This window comes from Homo sapiens, chromosome 2 (assembly GCF_000001405.40).
Source record: "Homo sapiens chromosome 2, GRCh38.p14 Primary Assembly".
In the NCBI taxonomy this organism is placed as follows: Eukaryota; Metazoa; Chordata; class Mammalia; order Primates; family Hominidae; genus Homo; species Homo sapiens.
In genome coordinates this window covers 27,524,702-27,550,233 of record NC_000002.12, presented here as the reverse complement: position 1 = coordinate 27,550,233, position 25,532 = coordinate 27,524,702, and the positions used below count along the sequence as shown (strand labels likewise).

The window sequence follows — 25,532 nt, the reverse complement described above, 5'->3', positions numbered from 1 at the left end:
AAAAAAAAAGAATCCCCACTATACCATCTCTATTGAACATTGTAGAGGAAGTCCTAATCAATGGAATAATACAAGAAAAAGAAAAGGTATAAGAATCAGAAAGAAAGAAATAAAATTATCATTTGCAGACAATATAGTTGTGTAGAATATCCAAAACATCTATAGATAAATAATTAGAATTGATAAGCAAATTTAGCAAAGTCTCTAGGTAGAAAGTCAATTTATAAAAATCTTTTGTGTTTTCAAGTATCAGGATCATTTAGAAAATGACATTTAAGGCTGGGTATGGTTGCTCATGCCTGTAATCCCAGCACCTTGGGAGGCCAAGGTGAGAGGATTGCTTGAGGCCAGGAATTGAAGACCAGCCTGGGCAATATAGTGAGACCCCATCTCCACAAAAGAAATTTTATTTATTTTTATTTTTTGAGGCGGAGTCTTGCTCTGTCACCCAGGTTGGAGTGCAGTGGTGTGATCTTAGCTCACTGCAACCTTCGCCTCCCAGGCTCAAGTGATTCTCCTACCTCAGCCTCCCAAGTAGCTGAGACTACAGGCATGCCATCATGCCAGACTAATTTTTTGTATTTTTAGTAGAGATGGGGTTTCACCATGTTGGCCAGGCTGGTCTTGAACTCCTGACCTCAGGTGATCCCACCTGACTAAGTCTCCCAAAGTGCTGGGATTACAGGTGTGAGCCACCACACCTGGCCTCCACAGAAGAAATTTTAAAAATTAGCCAGGTATGGTGACACATTCCTGTAGTCCTAACTACTCAGGAGGCTGAGGTGGTCGGATCACTTGAGCCCAAAAGTTCAAGGCTGCAGTGACTATGATTGTGCCACTGCACTTCAGCCTGGACAACACAAAGAGATCCTATCTCTTAAAAAAAAAAGTAAATAAATAAAAGAAAATGACATTTAAAATACCACACCAAACCAGACATTATGTGCCTCTTGATGATTATCATCACCTATGAAATATCTTCTTCCCCTCCTCAAAAAATATGAATTCTGATAAGTCTTAGATCCAACTTCCCCATTTACAAAACATACAGGACATAAGGGAACATGTTAAATGACAATACGGACATTTAATCAGCAAAATGTTAACTGCAAAATCTAAAGGACAAATAACCCATTTCTTTTTTTTTTTTTTTTTTTTTTTGAGACGGAGTCTCACTCTGTTGCTCAGGCTGGAGTGCAGTGGCGTGATCTCAGCTCATGCAACTTCCGCCTCCTGGGTTCAAGCAATTCTCCTGCCTCAGCCTCCCCAGTAGCTGGGATTACAGGCGCGTGCCACCACACCTGGCAAATTTTTTGTATTTTTAGTAGAGATGGGGTTTCACCATGTTGGCCAGGCTGGTCTTGAACTCCTGACCTCAAGTGATCCAAGCACCTCGGCCTCCCAAAGTGCTGGGATTACATGCTTGAGCCACTGCACCAGGCCCCATTTCTTCAACACATAAATAAATGGACAGAATAAAATAAAGAAATGAAGATGGAGAATTTACAGATTAGAAGACACTTAAGAGACTCACAAATCCATTTCAATCTGTGATCTTGAATCAAACAGACTATAAATAATAATTTATATCACTTAGGAGACAATTGGGATTTTTTTTTTTTTTTTGAAACAGGGCCTGGCTCCGTCACCCAAGCTGGAGTGCTGTGGAGTAAACTTGGCTCAATGCAACCTCTTCCCCCGAGGCTCAAGTGACCCTCCCACCTCAGCCTCCTGAGTAGCTGGGACCACAGGCGCACACCACCACACCCAGCTAATTTTTATATTGTTAGTAGAGTCAGGGTTTCACCATGTTGCCCAGGCTGATCTCCAACTCCTGAGCTCAAGCAATCCTCCTGCCTCAGTCTCCCAAAGTGCTGGGGTTACAGACTTGAGTCACTGCACCCAGGCGATAATTGGAGTTTGAATGCTGAAGGGTATTTGATGGTATTAAGAAACTACTGTTAAGTCCGGGCGCGGTGGCTCACACCTGTAATCCCAGCACTTTGGGAGGCCGAGGTGGGCAGATCACGAGGTCAGGAGATCCAGACCACGGTGAAACCCCGTCTCTACTAAAAATACAAAAAATTAGCCAGGCACAGTGGCAGGCGCCTGTAGTCCCAGCTACTGGGGAGGCTGAGGCAGGAGAATGGCGTGAACCCAGGAGGTGGAGCTTGCAGTGAGCCGAGACTGTGCCACTACACTCCAGCCTGGGTGACAGAGCAAGACTCTATCTCAAAAAAAAAAAAAAAAAAAAGAAATTACTATTAAATTTTTTGGCATGATAATGGTATTGTGTTTAACTATTTTTAAAGAGTTCTTATGTTTTAGATATACTAAAATATTTACAAATGAAATTATATTATCTGGGATTTACTTCAAAATAATAAGGTAAGAGAGTTGAAGCTGGGTGATGGATCCATGAAGATTCATGACACACTTCTATATATTTTCAATTTGTTTAAAATTTTCTTAATAAAAATGAAAAAGTATTACTATAGCTTCAAAAAACCCCTCTATATTGAAAACTATTATTGAGATAAATTAAGAAAGTCTAAATAAACGAGACATGAACACACTCATAGATCAGAAGGCTTATTATTTTGGGGATGTCAGTTATCTCCAATTAAACTATAAATCCAATACATTCTCAATCTAAAACCCTGCATGTTTTGTGTGACAATTAACAGGATGATTCACAGATTTATATGGAAATGTCAATGACCTAGAATAGTTAAGACAACTTCAAAGGTCAAAGTTGGGACCAGGCCTGGTGGCTCACACCTGTAATCCCAGCACCTTGGGAGGCCAAGGTGAGCAGATCATCTGAGGTCAAGAGTTCAAGACTAGCCTGGCCAACATGGTTAAACCTTATCTCTACTAAAAAATACAAAAATTAGCTGGGCATGGTGGTGTGCACCTGTAATCCCAGCTACTCGGGAGGCTGAGGCAGGAGAATCACTTGAACCTGGAAGGCGGAAGTTGCAGTGAGCTGAGATCACCTCACTGCCCTCTAGCCTGGGTGACAGAGTGAGACTGTCTCAAAAAAAAAAAAAAAAGATCAAAGTTGGAAGACTTACATTACCAAATTTTAAGTCACTACAAAGCTACATTATTGAAAATAGCAAGATATCAGTGTGAGGATAGGCAGACCAATGTAACAAAACAGAGAGTCCCGAAATAGACCCACATGTATACATTTACCTGATTTATGACAAGGTCACCAATAAAATTCAATGAGAATAGGATGGTCTTTTCAATAAATGGTGCTGGAGGAAAGGACAGGGATTACAGTGAAGTGGTGAGAAAGAGTCGTGAAAGTGTAGGGTCAGATTTTAAATTCTGATATTTTGTTCATCATGGATTTTTTTGCATTAATTTTTATTTTTAAATAATATTGCATTAGGCCAGGCATGGTGGCTTATGCCTGTAATCCTACACTTTGGGAGGCCAAGGCAGGCAAATTACTTGAACTGAGGAGTTCGAGACCAGACTGGGCAACATGGCAAAACCTCATCTCCACAAAAAACACAAAAATTAGCCAGGTGTGGTGAAGCATGTCACTGGTCCCAGCTACTTGGGAGGTTGAGGTGGAAGTATCACTTGAGCCCAAGAGGTTGAGGCTGCAGTGAGCTGTAATCACACCACTGCACTTCAGCCTGGGCAACAGAATAAAATCTTGTCTCAATAAGAAAAAGAATAAGAACGTTTCATTAAATATCTCGATTATTAAGTTTTTTGGTGTTCCTTACATTTTGTGTTCAAGGTGAGTACCTCACTCATTTTTATCCTAGTTCCTGCCCTACTGGAAGAATTAGATATCTATATGGGGAGGAGGGGAGTGTTGACCCCTACCTCACACCATACACAAAAAGTAATTTGAGATGGATCATAGAGCTAAATGTGAAAGAAAAAAAATAAGGGTTCTAGAAGAAATATAGAAGGGTATCTTCATGGCCTAGTGGTTAGCAAAGGTTTCTTGCACTGGGGATAGGGGTAGGGAGGGGAACACTAATCTTAAGAACATAACTTCATAAATTGGATTTCATTAAAATTTAGAACTTTTGGTCATTAAGACACAATTGTAAATGAAAAAGTGAGTCACAGAGTGGTAGAATTTATTTTAAATACCTTTATCTGGCAAAGGACTCATGTCCATAGTATTCAAAGAATTCCTACAAATCAGTTAAGTAAAAGAAACCCAATTATTAAAAATATGCAAAAGACTTGAACAGCCAGTTCACAAAAGAGAATTTCCAAATGGCCAATAAACATGAGAAGTTGCACATTATCATAAGTCATTAGGGAAATGCACATTAAAACCACAATGCAATACCACACAGACTCACCAGAGTGACTAAAATGAAAAAGATGAACTGGGTGCAATGGCTCACACCTGTAATCTCAGCACTTTGGGAGACCGAGGGGGGCAGATCACCCAATGTCAGGAGTTCAAGACCAGCCTGGCCAACATGGTGAAACCCCACCTAAAAAAGCAGCCAGGCATGGTGGCGCACACCTGTGGTCCCAGCTACTTAGGAGGCTGAGGCAGGAGAATCACTTGATCTCAGGAGGCAGAGGTTGCGTGAACCAAGATAGCATCACTGCATTTCAGGCTGGGAGACAGAGCAAGACTCCGTCTCAAAAAAAAAAAAAAGAAAAAGGAAAAGATGGACAATGCCAAGTGTTGGCAAGAAGGTGGAGCAACTAGAATTCTCAGACGCTATTCTTGGTATAATCACTTTAGAAAACTGGTGTCATCTACTAAAATTAAACATATATACCACATGACCAAGCAATTCCTCTCCTATTGGAGATAAGAAACCCACCAACAATGCATTATGTGTAATTAAAATCCTGAAACCTTCTTCTTTATCATATAGATATAACTTTTTTAACCACAAAAAATAAACAGGCCAGGTGTGGTGGCTCACACCTGTAATCCCAGCACTTTGGGAGGCCAAGGCGGGCAGATCACCTGAGGTCAGGAGTTCGAAACCTGTCTGGCCAACATGGCAAAACTCCATCTCTCCTAAAACTACAAAAATTAACTGGGCATGGTGGTGCATGCCTGTAGTCCCAGCTACTTGGGAGGCTGAGACAGGAGAATCACTTGAACCTGGGAGATGGAGGTTGCAGTGAGCCGAGATTGAGCTATTGCACTCCAGCCTGTGCAACAGAGTAAGATTCTGTCTCAAAAAAAAAAAAAAATTTGACTTTTTGAAATGCAATGTGCAAGAATTCCAAATATAAGATCACAGAGCCTTTTTTTGGCTATTTTTAATGCCACAATAGGTAGTTAAATTTCATTCTACATTTCAATATACGCTGGGTCCCCAAATTAACAAGCATGATATGGTATAATGTCACTTTAAAATTTGTTGTTGTCGGCCGGATGAAGTGGCTTAGGCCTATAATCCCACTGCTTTGGGAGGCTGAGGTGGGCGGATCACCTGAGGTCAGGAGTTCAAGACCAGCCTGACCAACCAGCCTGGCCAACATGGTGAAACCTCGTCCCTACTAAAAATACAAAAGTTAGCCAGGCATGGTGGCATGCATCTGTAATCCCAGCTACTTGGTAGGCTGAGCCAAGAGAATCGCTTGAATCTGGGAGGCAGAGGCTGCAGCGAGCCAAGATTGCGCCACTGTACTCCAGCCTGGGTGACAGAGCAAGACTCCGTCTCAGAAAAAAAAAAAAAAAAAAAAATTGTTGTCAACAAGATGAATCTCAAACACATTATGCTTAGCAAAAGAAGTCAGACACACAAGAATATATGCTGTATGATTCTACTTTTTGCAAGGTTCAAGAACAGGCAAAACTAGTCCATGACAATAGAAATCAGAATAGAGGTTGTGTCTGAGCAGAGAGGAGGGCAGAGACTAGAAAATAACATGAGGGAACTATTCAGGGTTATGGCTATGCCATATCTTTATTAGGGTTTTAGTTACATGGGTATATAAATTTATCAAAACTCATCACCCTATACAATTAATATATGTGCATTTTATGGTATTCAATTATACCTTAATAAAAATGTATTTGTTAACAAAAAAGCTTTTTATTACATAAATATGTAGAAAGAAATTGTATTTGTTGATTTATGAAGCAGAGTGACTTCCTGAGTAATTTACACTGTATTTTTATTGCGGCATCTTTCTGAGAAAGGAAGTAGATTCATGTATTCCCATACCAAAGAAGGTAGCCAGGCCTTTGTTCTTAGGGTCTTGGAACTCCTAATGCACAGCAGGGACTTAGTTTTTCAGGACTGAAAAAAATTGTCAGGAACCTAAAAAACAACCGTCAATAAGTCTAGATCTGCGAAAATTTTAAGCTGAAACGTGCCAGAGGGTTGAGACAGGAGGGAAGCTGGCTCCTTGAAATGGAAACAATGCTGAAGCTGCAGGTGCACTGGGTAGGAGAACCTTGGGTAGGGGGTCCCGGAGCCCTTCTGGTGTTAAGAGCCCAGGTGCAGCAGCTTAGGGACCTTAGCAAAGACCCCTGAGACTGGTAGAGAGGGGTTGAGACACACTTTTTGCCTTCAGATGGCTAAGAAGAAAAGCAAGAGCTATCCCTGTGGCTTAAGGGCCTGACTCACTTCTACTCTGGATAAACTGCAGAAACTGTGGAGTTCTTATACAACACAAAGGTTGGGGAGGAAAAATGATACTGGACTATTTTTTTTTTTTTTGCCAACCTAGTTAAAGGGAGGCTTAAGCCAGATTATATTTGATATAGACAAAAAAAAAGCCCTTGCCATTTCTCATACCCAATTGATGTGAAAATTCTCACACCTAATATAAAATCAATTAAATGTCATGCATCACTTGTTACAGAAGAAAAAGTAGACATTTGTCTTTTACTCTTAAACATGATGTTAAAATAACTTTGCAATTATAAAAAGATATTGTTTTAAAATAAAATTTATCTAAAATAACTTATGAAAAACGGACAAAATGCTTTTTAAGTTCCTAAGGAGGTTGACAAAATTATGAGGATGAAAGAAGTTTGAGAGTCAAAAAAGGTTTGGAAATGCTGCTGCAGGCAATAGAGTACACAGAAATTTTGTGTGCTTAGTTACTTTTAGCAGAGTGACACAATTAGCTTTGGGGGGTTTGTGTGTGTTATGTTTGTTTGTTTTCAGACAGCATCTTGCTCTGTCATCCACGCTGGAGTGCAGTGCAGTGGGACGATCTTGGCTCACTGCAACCTCCGCCTCCCAGGTTCAAGCCACTGAGCCTGGGAGCCTCTGGAGTAGCTGGGACTCCCTAGTAGCTGGGACTACAGGTGCACGCCACCATACCCAGCTAATTTTTGTATTTTCAGTAGAGACAGGGTGGTCTCGAACTCCTGACCTCAGGTGATCCGCCTGCCTCAGCCTCCCAAAGTTCTGGGATTACAGGCATGAGCCACCACTCCCAGACTGTATGTTGTCTTTTTGTTTTGTGGAGGCAAGGTCTGTGCTCCAGGCTGGAAAAGTAGGAGACCCCAGTTATATAAGACTGTAAATAGTTCAAGAGATGAAGTTTTAGTTAAGACAATCTAGATCTAGATTGCTGAATTTGAGAGATGTTTCTGAGAAAAAAATGGAAAGGACCTTGTGACCCCCATATAACTATAGCCATATCTGTCTTCAAGATCTAGGTCTAGGCTGGCGCTATCCTATAGAATTTTCTATGATGATGGAATATCATCTATATCAAATATTCTATATCTGTCAAATATATCAAATATTCTATATCTGTCCTATCCAATATGAGAGCCTCTAGTTACATGTGAGCACTTGAAACGTAGCTACTTCAATAGAGGAACTAAATTTTATTTATTTTTATTTTTATTTTTTTGAGACAGTCTCACTCTGTCACCCAGGCTGGAGTACAGTGGTATGATCTCGGCTCACTGCAACTTCCGCCTCCCAGGTTCAAGCGATTCTCCTGCCTCAGCCTCCTGAGTAGCTGGGACTACAGACACCCACCACCACGCCCAGCTAATTTTTGTATTTTTAGTAGAGATGGGGTTTCAGCATGTTTGCCAGGCTGGTCTCGAACTCCTGACCTCAAGTGATCCACCTGCCTTGGCCTCCCAAAGTGCCAGGATTACAGGCATGAGCCACCGCGCCCAGCCAGAAACAGAATTTTAAATTTTATTTAATTTTAATTAACTTAAGGTCGGGTGTGGTGGCTCATGCCTGTAGTCCCAGCACTTTGGAAGGCTGAGGTGTGTGGATTGCTTGAGCCCAGGAGTTTGAGACCAGCTGGGCACCATGGCGATACCCTCTCTCTACCAAAAAAAATTAAAAAATTAGCTAGGCATGGTGGCATGGGCCTGTAGTCTCAGCTAATTGGGAGGCTGTGGTAGGAGAATCACTCGAGCTCAGGAGGTTGAGGTTGCAGTGAGCCATGTGTTGCACTCCAGCCTGGGTGACAGAGGGAGAACCTGTCTCAAAAATAAAAAATTTAAATGGTCACATATGATTAGCAGATACCATATTGAACATCACAGGTCTCAGCCATTAATTTGAGCTGCTTGATGAATATCTCCACAGAAATTTTACAAGCACTTCCAACACAATGGTTCATATTCTGCCTCCCACCACATTCACAACTTTTCATGTGTAATGTTGCCTATGTCGTTTAAAAAACACCATCATCTTGTGAGTCATTCAGGGTTAAAACTGAGAAGTCGTTCGTTCATTTCACAAACAACTACGGAGCACTTACTATATGCCAGCCAGTATACTAGGCACTGGAAATACCATGATGAATGTAGTCCTCATAGAAAATGATGAGTTGGTGTCTCTCCCTCTCCCTCTCCCCTCTCCCCTCTCTCTCTCCCCCTTCCCACGGTCTCCTTCCACGGTCTCCCTCTGATGCCGAGCCAAAGCTGGACGGTACTGCTGCCATCTCGGCTCACTGCAGCCTCCCTGCCTGATTCTCCTGCATCAGCCTGCCGAGTGCCTGCGATTGCAGGCGCTCGCCGCCACGCCACGCCTGACTGGTTTTCATGTTTTTTTTGGTGGAGACGGGGTTTTGCTGTGTTGGCCGGGCTGGTCTCCAGCTCCTAGCCGCGAGTGATCCGCCAGCCTCGGCCTCCCGAGGTGCCGGGATTGCAGACGGAGTCTCCTTCACTCAGTGCTCAATGGTGCCCAGGCTGGAGTGCAGTGGCGTGATCTTGGCTCGCTACAACCTCCACCTCCCAGCCGCCTGCCTTGGCCCCCCAAAGTGCCGAGATTGCAGCCTCTGCCCAGCCGCCACCCCGTCTGGGAAGTGAGGAGCGTCTCTGCCTGGCCCCCCATCGTCTGGGATATGAGGAGCCTCTCTGCCTGGCTGCCCAGTCTGGAAAGTGAGGAGCGTCTCTGCCCGGCCGCCATCCCATCTAGGAAGCGAGGAGCGCCTCTTCCCCGCCGCCATCCCATCTAGGAAGTGAGGAGCGTCTCTGCCCGGCCGCCCATCGTCTGAGATGTGGGGAGCACCTCTGCCCCGCCGCCCTGTCTGGGATGTGAGGAGCGCCTCTGCTGGGCCGCAACCCTGTCTGGGAGGTGAGGAGCGTCTCTGCCCGGCCGCCCCGTCTGAGAAGTGAGGAAACCCTCTGCCTGGCAACCGCCCCATCTGAGAAGTGAGGAGCCCCTCCGTCCGGCAGCCACCCCGTCTGGGAAGTGAGGAGCGTCTCCGCCCGGCAGCCACCCCGACCGGGAGGGAGGTGGGGGGGGGGTCAGCCCCCCGCCCGGCCAGCCGCCCCGTCCGGGAGGTGAGGGGCTCCTCTGCCCGGCCGCCCCTACTGGGAAGTGAGGAGCCCCTCTGCCCGGCCAGTCGCCCCGTCCAGGAGGGAGGTGGGGGGGTCAGCCCCCCGCCCGGCCAGCCGCCCAGTCCGGGAGGTGAGGGGCGCCTCTGCCCGGCCGCCCCTACTGGGAAGTGAGGAGCCCCTCTGCCCGGCCAGCCGCCCCGTCCGGGAGGGAGGTGGTGGGGGTCAGCCCCCCGCCCGGCCAGCCGCCCCGTCCGGGAGGTGAGGGGCGCCTCTGCCCGGCCGCCCCTACTGGGAAGTGAGGAGCCCCTCTGCCCGGCCAGCCGCCCCGTCCGGGAGGGAGGTGGGGGGGTCAGCCCCCCGCCCGGCCGGCCGCCCCGTCCGGGAGGTGAGGGGCGCCTCTGCCCGGCCGCCCCTACTGGGAAGTGAGGACCCCTCTGCCCGGCCAGCCGCCCCGTCCGGGAGGGAGGTGGGGGGGTCAGCCCCCCGCCCGGCCAGCCGCCCAGTCCGGGAGGGAGGTGGGGGGATCAGCCCCCCGCCTGGCCAGCCGCCCCGTCCGGGAGGGAGGTGGGGGGGTCAGCCCCCCGCCCGGCCAGCCGCCCCATCCGGGAGGGAGGTGGGGGGGATCAGCCCCACGCCTGGCCAGCCGCCCGGTCCGGGAGGTGAGGGGCGCCTCTGCCCGGCCGCCCCTACTGGGAAGTGAGGACCCCTCTGCCTGGCCAGCCGCCCCGTCCGGGGGCGGGGGGGGTCAGCCCCCCGCCCGGCCAGCCGCCCCATCCGGGAGGTGAGGGGCGCTTCTGCCCGGCCGCCCCTACTGGGAAGTGAGGAGCCCCTCTGCCCGGCCACGGCCCCGTCTGGGAGGTGTGCCCAGCGGCTCATTGGGGATGGGCCATGATGACAATGGCGGTTTTGTGGAATAGAAAGGCGGGAAGAGTGGGGAAAAAATTGAGAAATCGGATGGTTGCCGGGTCTGTGTGGATAGAAGTAGACATGGGAGACTTTTCATTTTGTTCTGTACTAAGAAAAATTCTTCTGCCTTGGGATCCTGTTGATCTGTGACCTTATCCCCAACCCTGTGCTCTCTGAAACATGTGCTGTGTCCACTCAGGGTTAAATGGATTAAGGGCGGTGCAAGATGTGCTTTGTTAAACAGATGCTTGAAGGCAGCATGCTCGTTAAGAGTCATCACCACTCCCTAATCTTAAGTACCCAGGGACACAAACACTGCGGAAGGCCGGAAGGCCGCAGGGTCCTCTGGCTAGGAAAACCAGAGACCTTTGTTCACTTGTTTATCTACTGACCTTCCCTCCACTATTGTCCTATGACCCTGCCAAATCCCCCTCTGCGAGAAACACCCAAGAATGATCAATTAAAAAAAAAAAAAAAAAAAAAAAAAGAAAATGATGATAATGTTTATAATTAACTCTTTGCATCAGGAAAAATAGACTCAGTCCCTTCTCCCTCCTTTGCAAGGGAGTCTTGCAACACCTTCCACATCCAAACATTCACCCCAATACCTCCTCCACTTTCACATCCCTGATAGCAGATATTTTTTTCTCTTCCACTTACTGCTGTATCAATAGTGCACAGAGGAGTGGAAATGGGGGTAGGAGCAGGTGATAAATACTTGGGGAATTAATTTATGTTCTCTTTTCCTTTTTTTTTTTGAGACAGAGTCTCGCTCTGTCACCCAGGCTGGAGTGCAATGGCGTGGTCTCAGCTCACTGCAACCTCTGCCTCCCAGGTTCAAGTGTTTCCCCTGCTTCAGCCTCCCCGGTAGCTAAGACTACAGGTGCACGCCACCACGCCTGGCTAATTTAGTATTTTTAGTAGAGACGGGGTTCCACCATGTTGGCCAGGCTGGTCTCGAACTCCTGACCTCAAGTGATCTGCCCACCTCTGCCTCCCAAAGTGCTGGGATTACAGGCGAGAGCCACCACGCCCGGCTACGTTCTCTTTTTCACCGTGCCACTCTGATATTTTTGTTTCCTCGCTTCTTCCCACTAAACCATGAAAATGGCCTAGCTATGCCAGAGAACTACCATATAAGCTTACTGGAGGTATTCAAAACCTCATTCTTACTGTGTGGCCCTCATTCCAAGGGCAGCAGCAGCATCTGGGAGCTTGCTAGAATTGTAGAAACTCAGTCCCTACCCCAGACTTACTACATCAGAATCTGCTTTTTAACAAGATCCCCCAGGTGATTCATATGCATGTTAAAGTTTAAGAAGTGCTCCTCAAAGCACAGATCTAAGCACATTTTTATCTGGCTTTAAAATCTTTGATGTCTTTCAAACTGCACAGAGTTGTATTTATACCAAGTATTCAGCCTGGCGTTCAAAGCTCTACAGTGTGACCTCTGTTAACTTGTCAATCTTTTCTCTCTCTGAGTCCCTACAGTCCTATGCTCCATCCAGATTGGTGACATCTCTCCTCAAACACATCCAATACGCTTCCCTTTCCCACATCTTTTTTCCAATGTATTCCCTCTTTTTTAAAAGGTTTCCACTGCCTTCCTCTATTCACTCCAACCACCTTCAAAATCCCACTCTTCCTCTGAAGCACACTCAAACCTGAGCTCTCCCAGGTGGTATTTTATAGAGCCCCCTAGTTCAAAATACTGTCTACCTCCCATGTCAGCAACATTTATACCTCTATTAACTCTTAATCACATTCTCTTTCCAGTTATGTGTATATCCATCTCCCCCACTTCACCTCGAGCTCCTAGAGAATGGCGATAGTCTCTAGGTCTGTTGAAATGAATTGAAGGAAAAAGGATTTATAGTGATCTATAGGAAGACTATCCATGGGCACTGTCTCAACTCCCCTCTCCCTGCATCCAGTTCCTCCCATGGCCCAAAGTATGGCAGTTTCTATGGCCTCAGGAGCGGGACCAGTTAGTTTCAAGGGAGGGCTACATCACATACCTCTGAGTTTATCTTGGCTGCCACCTGCTTCCAGCTCCGATTCCTGGAAAACAGTGTCCAAAGCCGCCAAATAAAAAAAACAAACAATAATAGAAGGCTGATATCTGATGGCAGTGGGACGTCCATCCCCCAAATTGGTGCCATTTCTCAACCCCATGCTCTTCTCAGCCAGAGTTTTCTGCCTCAAGGCTGTGACTTCATATGACATCACAATGGGCATCCCAAGGTAAATCTGACAGCATCCAGCCAATGTGCATGCTACTTAGCTCTCTTCTCTGAGCCATACCCAAAGTACAATCTGCTGCCCCTTCCTGCAGCTGTCCACAGGCTCCACTCTGACAGCCAAAGCTCAGGGAAGAACTCCTTTATGACTCTTCTAGGACTGGGCTAGACAGCTTGTCATTAAGTAGGGAGTATGTAGGCAAGGTTTTAAAGAAGCAGGCCTCCCAAGTGGCCTGTTCTGCCCTACAAGCATTTTCTCTGGAGCCAGTCACTCCCTGGAAGTCCAGATATGGTGTTAAATGCCCCAAACCACAAACTAGAATACAAAGTCAAGTAATTTTTATTTTTTTGAGATGGAATCTCACTCTGTCTCCAGGCTGGAGTGCAGTGGCACAATCTCAGCTCACTGCAACCTCCGCCTCACAGGTTCAAGCAATTCTCTGCCTCAGCCTCCCAAGTTGCTGGGATTACAGGCACGCGACACCACACCCAGCTAATTTTTGTATTTTTAGTAGAGACGGGGTTTCACCATGTTTGCCAGGCTAGTCTCGATCTCTTGACCTCGTGATCCACCCGCCTCAGCCTCCCAAAGTGCTGGGATTACAGGCGTGAGCCACCGCACCCGGCCAAGGTCAAGTAAATTTAAGAAAGCTAGGATATTTTAAGTAGGTACTCTCAGAAAATTTGAGATAAACGGTTTCCTAAGTCTAAGGCTTGACACATTTTCTAGCTGCTATTGCATTGAGATGGAAAAGAGATGTCAGAGAGGGAAATTAAATTACCTTAGAGGATCACTCTACCCCAGAATCTACAGTCTCATTTTCCAAGTCTAGAACATTTATTCCATCATGTCATCCAGACTTGACTGGATTCTCTAGGGCTAATTCACTATAAACAAAAAATGTACAAGGAATCAATTCATTCTATAACAAAGATTAATAAAACTGGCCAAGGCATTCTTTTTTCTTATAGGAAAGTTAATCTGGAAAAGCAACTCGATGAACTATTGAACAGCAGGTAATGTCTTAGAGGACAGATGAGGTATCTACCTCATAGAATTTTCAGCCTACAGGGGCAGCCTAAGCAATGTTCTAGAAAAGCCCATCAAGAAGAAAGTAGTTAAATAAATGTGCTATACCCATATTATGAATACTCTGTGGTCACTATACAGATTATAACGATAAAGAATAAGATATGGATATGTAATATGAGCTGAACACACATTAAGTGGCAAGTACTAGTTATATGCCAGCCTGGAGTTCTAAAAAAAGATTAGAACTGAAGACATAGTTTTGGGTTCTTAAAACATTATGTATATAATATATAAAACATATTTATATATTATATATATAGTTTGACAAGAACCTTTCTCTATATGGATATAAAAATGTATTCTTTGTGTCTTAAATATTTACTCACCATTATGTTTGAGATAGCCATCATATTTTGTATAGCTGTAATTCATCATTTTTTAATATTTCATTGTATTATATAACTATTCTATAACATATTTATCCATTATGGTATTGATGGATATTGGGCTTCTTTTCAGTGTTTGCTTATTATAAACAATGCTGTCAAAAACATCCTTGTCCATGCATCTTGGTAAACACAAGTTCCTAATTCTCTATGGCAGTAGTTCTCAAACTTTAAAATGCATTACAGTCATGTGGAGGGTTTATTATAAACCAGATTGCCGGGCCCTACACCTATAGTTGCTGGTTGAGTAGGTTTGGAGTGGAGCCCAAAGATTTGGCATTTCAAAGTTCCCAGGTGATGCTGATGCTGTTGATGCAGGGACCATACTTTGAGAATACCTGCTGTACAGTGTCTACCTAGGAATGGAATTGCTAAGTTATAGCGTATGTGTAACAAACTTTAGTGGACAGTGCCAAGCTGCTTTCCAAAGTGGATATGTCAATTTCTACTTCTACCAGTGGTGAATGGTAGTTCTTCTTGCTCTATTTTCATCTCAACACATGGTATTGTCAAGCTGTTTAATTTAAGCCAATGTGGTGTGTGTGATAGTGGTATTTCATTGTGGTTTTAACTTGAATTTCTCTGATTACTAAAGTTAAAACACACTTTCATAAGTTAATTGGCCATTTAGACTTTAAATAAATTATTGCATTCCAATTGCTAATATTTTGTTTAGAATATTTGCATCTTTTTTTTTTTGAGACAGGGTCTTGTTCTGTCCCCCAGGCTGGAGTGCAGTGGCATGATCACGGCTCACTGGAACCTCCACCTCCCGGGCTCAAGCGATCCTCCCACCTCAGCCTCTCAAGTAGCTAGGACCACAGGCATGTGCCACCATGCCTGGCTAATTTTTGTATTTTTTGTAGAGATGGAATTTTGCCATGTTACCCAGGCTGGTCTTGAACTCCTGGACTCTAGCGATCCACCCGCCTTGGCATCCCAAAGTGCTGGGATTACAAGCGTGAGCCACCACGCCCAGCCATCTATTTTCATGATCAAGGCCAGCCTGAAATTTTTCTCTCTTTTTCTGTCCTCGTCAGGTTTTTAGTGTCAAAGTTATGCTGGATTCAAGAGTTAGAGAATGTTTCCTCTTTTTTTAAATGCTCTGAAAGAGTTTGTGTAAGATTGGAACCCTTTGATCCTTCAATTTTTGGTAGAACTCATCAGCAAAACCATACAAACCTGGAGTTCTTTTTGAGTGAGGATTTTTGACTACATATTCCATTTTTTTGAAGATTATTATACTATTGAGAATGGGGGGGAATAAAAATTAATTACTTTAAAATTAAAAATGAGGGTCTCACTATGTTGCCCCAGCTGGTCTTGAACGCCTGGCCTCTGGCAATTCTCTTGTCTCAGCCTCCTGAGTAGCTGATATTACAGGCACGAGCCATTGTAGCCAGCCATGAGAGGTTTTTTTTGAGTCAGCTTTGGAAGGTATATTTTCTAGTAATTTTTCCATTTAATCTACATTTTCAAATGTATTGACAAAGTTATTCAAATGTCGTCATGTCTCCTTTGTTTTCATGGTGTTGGTTATTTGTGGGTTTTTTCCCCTTTTCTTTGGCCTATCTTGCTAGAGATTGTTCAATTTTGTCAATCCTTTCAAAGAACTAACTTTGTATGTTTGTTTTCTATTTCAATAATTTCTGCCTTTGCCTTATTTCCTCGTTTCTACTTTCTTTGGATGTATTTTGATGCTATTTTTCTAACTTTCTTCTTGAGATGAATGCCTAAATCATTCATTTTCAGCTCTTTCCCCCTAATATATGCAAATCGGGTATGTTTCCTCCCAAGTACTACTTCAGCTGCATGTCACCAGTTGTGATATGTAGAATTTTTGTTATCATTTAGTTCCAACTATTTTCTAGTTCCCATATTGATTTCTTTGATCCATGGATTATTTAGAAATTCATGTTTAAATTTCTACATATATGGGGATTCTACATATATGGTTAGATAACTAGAAAAGTTATCTAACCAAGTCACATTGTAATCAGAATACATACTTCAAATCATTTCAATCCGTTGAAATGTTTGAGATTTTATCCCAGTCTATGGTCAATTATAAAAATTCTATGTGTGTTTTAAAATGAGATGTATTCCACAAGTGATAAAAACAGTCTCTATATGTCCGTTTGGTCAATTTTGCTAGTCTTTATGTTCAAATCTATACTCCTAAGCTTTTGTCTGATTATCCATCAATTACTAAGACAGGCATGTAGAATCACCTATTAATACAGTTGTGTATTTGTTTATATCTCCTTTGAGAGCTGTAGATTTTTGCTTTATATATTTTTAATCATTCTTTAAAATCACAATACATTCCTGGTAAATTAAATATTTTAACACTATGAAGTCCCTGTTCATTTCTAGTAATACTTTTGGCCTTAAGTTATTTTGTCTGATATTAATATTGCTGTACGGTAGATGGACCTGATAGCATAACTTAAGCATACCCCTAAGAATGACCCTGTATGGCAGATACATCTGACAGTATCAACTTAACTTAAGCATAGCCTGAGAATGACCCTGTGTTCTAAGAAGAATGTGTGTTTGGATTTCCAAGCTAAGGAATCCAGAAGTGGCCAATCTGGAGATTTATTTATTCCTTATGTATAATGAACATCTGAACCCCCGGCATGGCCTGTGACATGCAGGACATACAGGGGACTGAAGCCTTTTGTTTTGAGTTAAATGAAAGTTGCCAGGAGGAGGTTGCTAGGAGGAGGGTGCTAAGTGAAAATACTATATAAACTGCATGCTTTTTATAAGCAGTTTGGTTCTCCTGTTTAGCCCACCACCAGTGGACTGCCCTGTATGTAATTTCCCTCAATAAGCCCAATGTCTTCTTTGCTAGCTCCAGGTCTCTTCTCTAGCCTCTGCAACATGATGCTATCCCTACTGAAGTCAATAGGGTTCTGGCATGACAATTGCCATAGCTATTTTCTTTTGGTTGGTATTTCACAGTATATCTTTTCCCATTCTTTTACTATCAACCTTTCTATATGCCTTTGCTTTAATACTGGCTACAAAATAAACAAAATCCATATATATGCTGTTTGCAAGAGACACATCTATAACAAAAAAAGTGTTAATTGGGGCATGTATTTCATTTACCTTTAATGTAATTACCAAAGTATTTGGGCCATGATCTGTCCTCTTAGTACTTCCTGTTTTGTCCTATATTTTAAGTTTCTTTTTCTCTCCTTTTTTTTTTTTTTTTTTTTTTGAGACAGAGTCTCACTCTGTTGCCCACTTTGGAGTGCAGTGGTGTGATCTTGGCTCACTGCAACCTCCGCCTCCCAGGTTCAAGCGATTCTCCTTTCTCAGCCTCCAAAGTAGCTGGGTCTACAGATGTATGCTACCACGCCCAGCTAATTTTTATATTTTTAGTAGAGACAGTATTTCGCCATCTTGGCCAGGCTGGTTTCAAACTCCTGACCTCAGGTGATCCACCTGCCTCAGCCTCCCAAAGTGCTGGGATTACATGTGAGCCACCTGGCGCAGTCTTTTTCTCTCTTTTCTTGCCTTTCAATTAGATGACTATTTTTAATTACTTCATTTTCCCCCTTTACTAATTAGAAATTATACTGTTTTTATTCTTTTAGTGCAAGGCTTGGCAAACTATGGCCTGTGGGCCAAATCCAGCATGCTGCCTGTTTTTGCAAATGAAGATTTATTGGAACACAGCCACACTCATTTTACATATTGTCTACGGCTGTTTTCAAGCTTGCAACAGCAGAGTTGAACAGTAATGACTGAGACCACAGGGCCTGCAAAGACTAAAATATTTACTATCTATCTCTACAGAAAAAGTTTGCCAACCCTGTTTTTAGCAGATACCTTTTAAAATGCAATATGCACACAGCTTATCAAAGCCTTAAATTAATAAAAACTTTTATCTTCTTTATGGAAAAATCAAGGCCCTTAGAATATTTTAACTCAATTTATCCCTTCCCAAATATATGTTATTGTAGTTAGGAATTTTAACTTTATATATTTATTTTTAATTTTTTAAAAAATTTAATTTTTAGTGTTTGTGGGTACATAATATATATTATGAAATACATGAGATATTTGTATTATGATACTGTATTCCATAATACATGTTTTTATTTTTAGATCATAATACATATTCCATAACACAATTATGATACTATGATTAGTATTAGTCCATTCTTGCATTGCTATAAAGAAATATCTGAGACTGGGTAATTTATGAAGAAAAGAAATTTAACTGGCTCACTGTTCTGCAGGCTGTACAGGAAGCACAGCAGCTGCTGGGGAGGCCTCAGGAAACTTACACTCATGGCAGAAGGGGAAAGGGAAGCAGGCTCATTTCACACAGCCGAAGCAGAAGAAATAGAGAATGAGGTCCCACACACTTGTAAACAACCAGCTCTTTTGAGAAGTCATTCACTATACCAAGGGGTATAGTACTAAACCATTCATGAGCACTCCACCCCCATGATCCAATCACCTCCCACCAGGCCCCATCCCCAACACTGGGGATTACAATCCAACATGAGATTTGGGTGAGGACACAGATCCAAACCATATCACATGCAGTGCAGAATAATCACATCATGGAAAATTGTGTATTCATCCCCTCAAGCATTTATCCTCTGTGTTACAAAGAATCCAATTACACTCTTAATTATTTTTAAATGTACAATTAACTGATTATTGACTTTAGTCTCCCTGTTGTGCTATTAAATACTGTGCCTTATTCTTTTTTTTTTTTTTTTTTTTGAGACAGGATACTGCTCTGTCACCTAAGCTGGAGTGCAGTGATGCAATCATGGCTCACTGCAGCCTCAACTTCCCAGGCTGAAGGGATCCTCCTGCTTCAGCCTCCTTAGTAGCTGGGACTACAGGCATATACCACCATGCTTAGCTAATTTTTCTTTTATTTTTTGTAGAGATGGGCTCTCGCTATGTTAACCATGCTGGTCTTGAACTCCTGGCTCAAATTATCCTCCCGCCTCAGCCTCCAAAAGTGCTGGGATTACATGCATTTGCCACTGTGCCCACCCTTATTCATTCTATTTTTTTTGGTACCCATTAACAATTCCCACCTCCCCACCACTACCCCTCCACTACCCTTCTCAGCCTCTGGTAACCATCCTTCTATTCTCTATCTCCATAAGTTCAATTATTTGTTTGTTTGTTTGTTTGAGACGGAGTCTTGCTCTGTCACCCAGGCTGCTGTGCAATGGCACGATATCGGCTTACTGCAACCTCTGCCTCCCAGGTTCAAGCCATTCTCCTGCCTCAGCCTCCCAAGTAGCTGAGATTATAGGTGCCTGCCACCACACCCAGCTGATTTTTGTATTTTTAGTAGAGAAGGGGTTTTGCCATGTTGCCCAGGCTGGTCTTGAACTCCTAACCTCAGGTGATCCACCTGCCTCAGCCTCCCAAAGTGCTGGGATTACAGGTGAGCCACCATGCTCAGCCTGTTTTGATTTTTAGATCCCACAAATAAGTGAGAACATGCAACATTTGTCTTTCTGTGCCTGGTTTATTTCACTTAACATAATAAGTGAAATAAGTTCTATCCATGTTGTTGCAAATGACAGAATCTTATTCTTTTTATGGATGAATAGTACTCCATTGTGTATATGTACCACATTTTCTTTATCCATTCATCTGTTGATGGACACTTAGGTTGCTTCCAAATTTTGGCTATTGTGAACAGTGCTGCAACAAACATGGGAGTGCAGATATCTCTTTAATATACTGATTTCCTTTCTTTTGTCTTTATATCCAGCAGTGGTATTGTTCTCCGTAATGGTTGTACTAATTTACATTCCAACAGTATACAAGTGTTCCCTTTTCTACACATTCTCTCCAGCATTTGTTGCTGCTTGTCTTTTGGATAAAAGCCATTTTAATTGGAGTGAGATAATATCTCATTGTAGTTTTGACTTGCATTTCTCTGATGATCAGTGATGTTGAGTACTTTTTCATATGATTGGTTGCCATTTGCATGTCTTCTTTTGAGAAATGTCTATTCAAATCTTTTTTTTTCTTTTTCTTTTTTTTTCTTTTTTTTTTTTTTTTGAGACGGAGTCTCGCTGTGTAGCCCAGGCTGGAGTGCAATGGTGCAATCTCAGCTCTCTGTAACCTCCACCTGCTGGGTCCCAGTTCAAGCAATTCTCCTGCTTTAGCCTCCCTAGTAGCTGGGATTACAGGCACGTGCCACCATGCCCAGCTAATTTTTGTATTTTTAGTAGAGACAGGGTTTCACCATGTTGGCCAGGCTGGTCTCGAACTCCTGACCTCGTGATTCGCCCGCCTTGGCCTCCCAAAGTGCTGGGATTACAGGCATGAGCCACCGCACCTGGCCGGCTATTCACATCTTTTGCCAATTTTTAAATTGGATTATTAGATTTCTTCCTATAGAGCTGAGCTCCATATATATATATATACATATATATAGTTATTAATCCCTTGTCATATGGGTAGTTGTAAAAATTTTCTCCTATCCTGTGGATTGTCTCTTCACTTTGTTGATTATTTCCTTTGCTGTGCAAAAGCTTTTTAACTTAATGTGATCCCATTTTTCCATTTTTGCTTTGGTTGCCTGTGCTCGTAGAGAATTACTCAAGAAACTTTTGCCCAGGGTAATGTCCTAGAGAGTTTCTCCCAGTGTTTTCTGATAGTAGTTTCATAGTTTGAGATTTAAGTCTCTAATCCATTTTGATTTGATTTTTGTATATGGCAAGAGATACGGGTCTAGTTTCATTCTTCTGCATATGGATATACTACCTGAGACTGGGTAATTTATGAATAAAGGAGGTTTAATTGACTCACAGTTTCACAGGCTTAACAGGAAACATGACTGGGAGGCCTTAGGAAACCTACAATCATGGTGGAAGGTGAAGCGGAAGCCAACATCTTCTTCACATAGCAGCAGGAAAGAGAGAGAGCACAAAGGGGAGAGTGCCACACACTTTTAAACCATAAGATCTTGTGAGAACTCACTCACTATCATGAAAACAGAATGGGGGAACTCCACCCCCATGATCCAGTCACCTCCCACCCGGCCCCTCCCACAACATTGGGAATTATAATTCAACATGAGATTTGGGTGGCGACACAGAACCAAACCATATCAGAGATCCAATTTTCCCAGCATCATTTATTATAGAAACTGTCTTTTCCCCAATGTATGTTCTTGGTACCTTTGTCAAAAACGAGTTCACTGCAGGTGTGTGAATTTGTTTTTGAGTTCTCTATTCGGTTACATTGGTCTATGTATCTGTTTTTATGCCAGTACCATGCTGTTTTCGTTACTATAACTCTGTAATGTAATTTGAAGTTAGGTAATGGATTCCTCTAGTTTTGTTCTTTTTGCTCAGGATAGCTTTGGTTATTCTAGGTCTTTTGTGGTTCCATATAAATTTTAGGATGTTTTTGCTATCTCTGTGAAGAATGTCATTGATATTTTGATAGAGATTGCATTGAAGCTGTAGATTGCTTTGGGTACTACGGACATTTTAACATTGATTCTTCCAATCCATGATTATAGAATATCTTTCCATTTTTCTGTGCCATCTTCAATTTCTCTCATCAGTGTTTTATAGCTTTCATTGTAGAGATCTTGACAGGTGCAGTGGCTCAAGCCTGTAATCCCAACACTTTGGGAGGCTGAGGCAGGTGGATCACAAGGTCAGGAGTTCAAGACCAGCCTGACCAACATGGTGAAACCCCGTCTCTACTAAAAAAAAAAACAAAAAAACAAAAAAACAAAAAATTAGCCAGGCATGGTGGTGTGCACCTATAATCCCAGCTACTCAGGAGGCTGAGGCAGAAGAAACGACTGGACCCGGGAGGCGGAGGTTACAGTGAGCCGAGATCACACCACTGCACTCCAGCCTGGGCAACAGAGCAAGACTCTGTCTCAAAAAAAAAAAAAAATCACATCTCCTTCAAATAAGGATAATTTGACTTCTTCCTTTCCAGTTTGGATGCCCTTTATTTCTTTGTCTTGTCCGATTGCTCTAGCTAGGACTTCCAGTACTGTGTTGAATATCAGTGGTGAAAGTGGGGATCTTTGTCACGTTCCAGATCTAAGAGGAAAGGCTTTCAGTTTAAATTTATTTTTTGAATAAACTTTTTATTTTTGAAAAATTTCAGGTTTACAGAAAAGTTACAAAGATAGTACAGCAAATTCCCATATATATTTCACCTAGTTTCACCTAACATTAACATCTTACATAAGTTTGGTACGTTTGTCAAAACTATGAGATTAACATTGGTATATTTACTATTAACTAAACTCCAGATTTCATGCAGTTTCACCAGTTTTGCCACTAAAGTCCTTTATCTTTCCAGGATCCAACCGAGGGTAGCACCCTGTAGGTGAGTCATGCTTCCTGAGTCTCTTCTGGTCTATGACAGTTTCTCAGTCTTTTCTTGTTTTCCATGACTGAAAATTTTCAGGTATTTTGTAATATGAGCAGGTATTTTATAATATGTCCCTAAAGCTGGGTTACTGTGATGTTTTCTTTATGCTTAGACTGAGGTTATGTGTTTGGGGGAAGAATACCACAGAGGTGACATGCCTTTCTCATGATATCATATCAGGAGGTGCGTGATACCTGCTGGTGATGCCCATCTTGATTACTTGATTAGGGTAGTGCTTGCCTGGTTTCTCCACCGTAAAACCCATTCCCTTTCCCATACTCTGTTTTTTTGTAAGTGAGCCCCTAAATCTAACCCACATTGGAGGAGAGGTGGTGTGGGATGATTAAGCTCCATTTCCTAAAGGAGTGTGTGTGTGTGTGTGTGTGTGTGTGTGCGCGCGCGTGTGTGTTTATTTAGAATTCTTCTTTAGGAAAAATTGGTACTTTCCCCCACTTTATTTATTCAATCATTTGCTTATAACGGTACGAATTCACGCGTACTCATGTATTTTTTTAAACCAAGTGTTTTTTTTAATTTTATTTATTTATTTGAGACAGGGTCTCATTCTGTCACCCAGGCTGGAGTGCAGTGGCATGATGACAGCTCACTGCAGCCTCAACCTCCTGGGCTTAAGAAATCGATCCTCCCACCTCGCTTCCCAAGTAGCTGGGACTGCTGTCGCCTACCACCATGACCAGCTTGTTACTTATTTTGTTGCTCAAATTGTTCCCACTTTAGGCACTAGGAGCTCTTTCACATTGGCTCTTGTATCCCTTTGACATATTGTCATCCTTGTGGAGGTTTTGAGCAATTCTTTACTTTCTGTGACTACAAGATGCTCCAGGGATCCTCTTCCTGTCTTTTTCCTTGTCTTTTCCACAGCACCCCAGTTACTAGCTTAAAAATGACCCACTTCTCTCTCCCAGGATGGGAGCATTTTGCATCACCTAGATATAGTACCTGTCCTCTCAACCCTAGGATTTGACTCACCTGTCCAATTGGGTCCAACCCTAAGTTTCCATTGGATCTTAGGCATTTTGCTGTATTTGTAGAGCCCATCCCTGGAACCAGATGGAGACCCCTCTGTCTCCTACCTGGTCCCAACATCCTCTTTCAACGTTATAGCTTATCTAATATTCAAGAGCTGGCTCCAGGCTGTGTAACATTCAAAACAATCTGAATGTTAGACCGGACGAATGTTGGCCAGGTGTGGTGGTTCACACACACGATCCCAGCACTTTGGGTGGCTAAAGCAGTAAGATCACTGGAGGCCAGGAATCAAGACCAGCCTGAGCAACATAGCAGGGCCCCATCTCTACAAAAAAAAAATTAAAAATGAGCCAGGTGTGGTGGTGCACATTTGTAGTCCTAGCTACTCGGGAGGCTGAGGCAGGAAGATTGCTTGAGCCAAGGAGTTCGAGGCTGCAGTGAGCTATGACCGCACCACTGCACTGCAGCCTGGACAACATAGTGAGACACTTTCCTTAAAAAAAAAAAAAAAGAGAGAGAGACCATCTAAATTATGAAAAGAATAGCTAGCTAGATTTTGGAGACGAGTTCATGAGTTCCATATATATATATGGATATATATTATATATTCCATATATATGTGTGTGTGTGTGTGTGTGTGTGTGTGTGTGTGTGTGTGTGTGTATAACGTCAGGCTTAGAGTATGTGCGATATCCAAATATATTTTGTCCCACCCCCTCTTGTTTTTTTTTTCTGTTTTAGAGCCAGGGTCTTGTAATGTGGCCCAGCCTGGCCTTGAACTCCTGGACTCAAGTGATCCTCCCATCTCAGCCTCTCAAGTAGCTAGGATGGCACACCTAGCCCCCTTTTGCTTTTGATCCAGCAAATATATGTGCTGGGAAATTGTTTTCTTCATCTTCCACAATCTAATCCAGTCTTCAGGCCCAGGCCCTTTAGTCCTTTCTACATAATTACTGCCTTGTATTAATAATGGATTATTCTCTTGCTGTTTTTGCCCTCAGATGTTTACTTTCTCCAAATAACTGCAAAAGTTGTCACCCTATCATTTGTGTCTGGATAGTTCTAAAAAAATCTTTGAACTTCTTTAGCTCTGCCTGGAGCACAAATCCCATTGACAATGACCAGATTCTCTGCTATCAGATCCATATCCCAGTGTGAATCTTCAAACCTTCTTGCGTTTTCTTTGGCTGTTCCTTTACCCCACCCCAGCCTCCTTTCTTCCAAAACTTTCCTTGACTCTTGGCCTACCCTGTAATTTCAGCAGCTCTCTGTACTTATCCCGCTGTTTAATCCACTTCAACTCTGTCTTGTATTCTAATTGCTATGTGCTTGTGAGTTTCTAGGGGGTAGGCATCAGATCTTAGTCATCTTCATCTCTGCCACAATGCCAGAGTGTGTCTAGCTTCTAATGTCCCCCAAGGCTATCCCACAATATTCATAATGTCCCACAATAATGTCCCACAATATTCATAATACCTGAATATTGTGTCCAACTACATAAGAATTGAATTCACTTGATGTCTTCATGCCATCCACGTACTTGGCAACTAAAAGAACTCAGGGCTTCTAGAGTTCTTCTGCATCCAGCCCTGGAGAAATCTAACCCTGTGCCCTATCCCCTCCAAATGTGGGAGGGGAGCTACTGTACAGTTGGCATCATCAACAGGATCAAGGGGTGCTCTGCCCTTTGGGGTCCCAGAATGCTAGGTATCTTCTCAGACTTGACACTGTTCATGACACCATGCTGAGAGATGAACTGACCC

At 43.1% G+C, this 25,532-nt stretch overlaps 1 protein-coding gene across 1 annotated transcript in view, besides 1 other annotated feature; it reads right to left on the bottom strand.

Annotated features, from left to right (window-relative positions):
* SPATA31H1 (SPATA31 subfamily H member 1) overlaps positions 1–12,848 on the bottom strand; it is a 45,337-nt gene extending 32,489 nt beyond the window's left edge. The window contains exon 1 of the mRNA NM_032266.5: positions 12,664–12,848. Within this exon, the coding sequence (NP_115642.4) occupies positions 12,664–12,807 (144 nt within the window). The 5' untranslated portion in view covers positions 12,808–12,848. The remainder of the gene's footprint in view (positions 1–12,663) is intronic.
* Positions 12,558–12,852: an enhancer, noted in NCBI's record as "tiled region #4379; K562 Activating DNase matched - State 5:Enh". NCBI's record gives its function as "activates a minimal TATA promoter and a strong SV40 promoter by Sharpr-MPRA in K562 cells {active_cell/tissue: K562}" and the evidence as "EXISTENCE:reporter gene assay evidence [ECO:0000049][PMID:27701403]".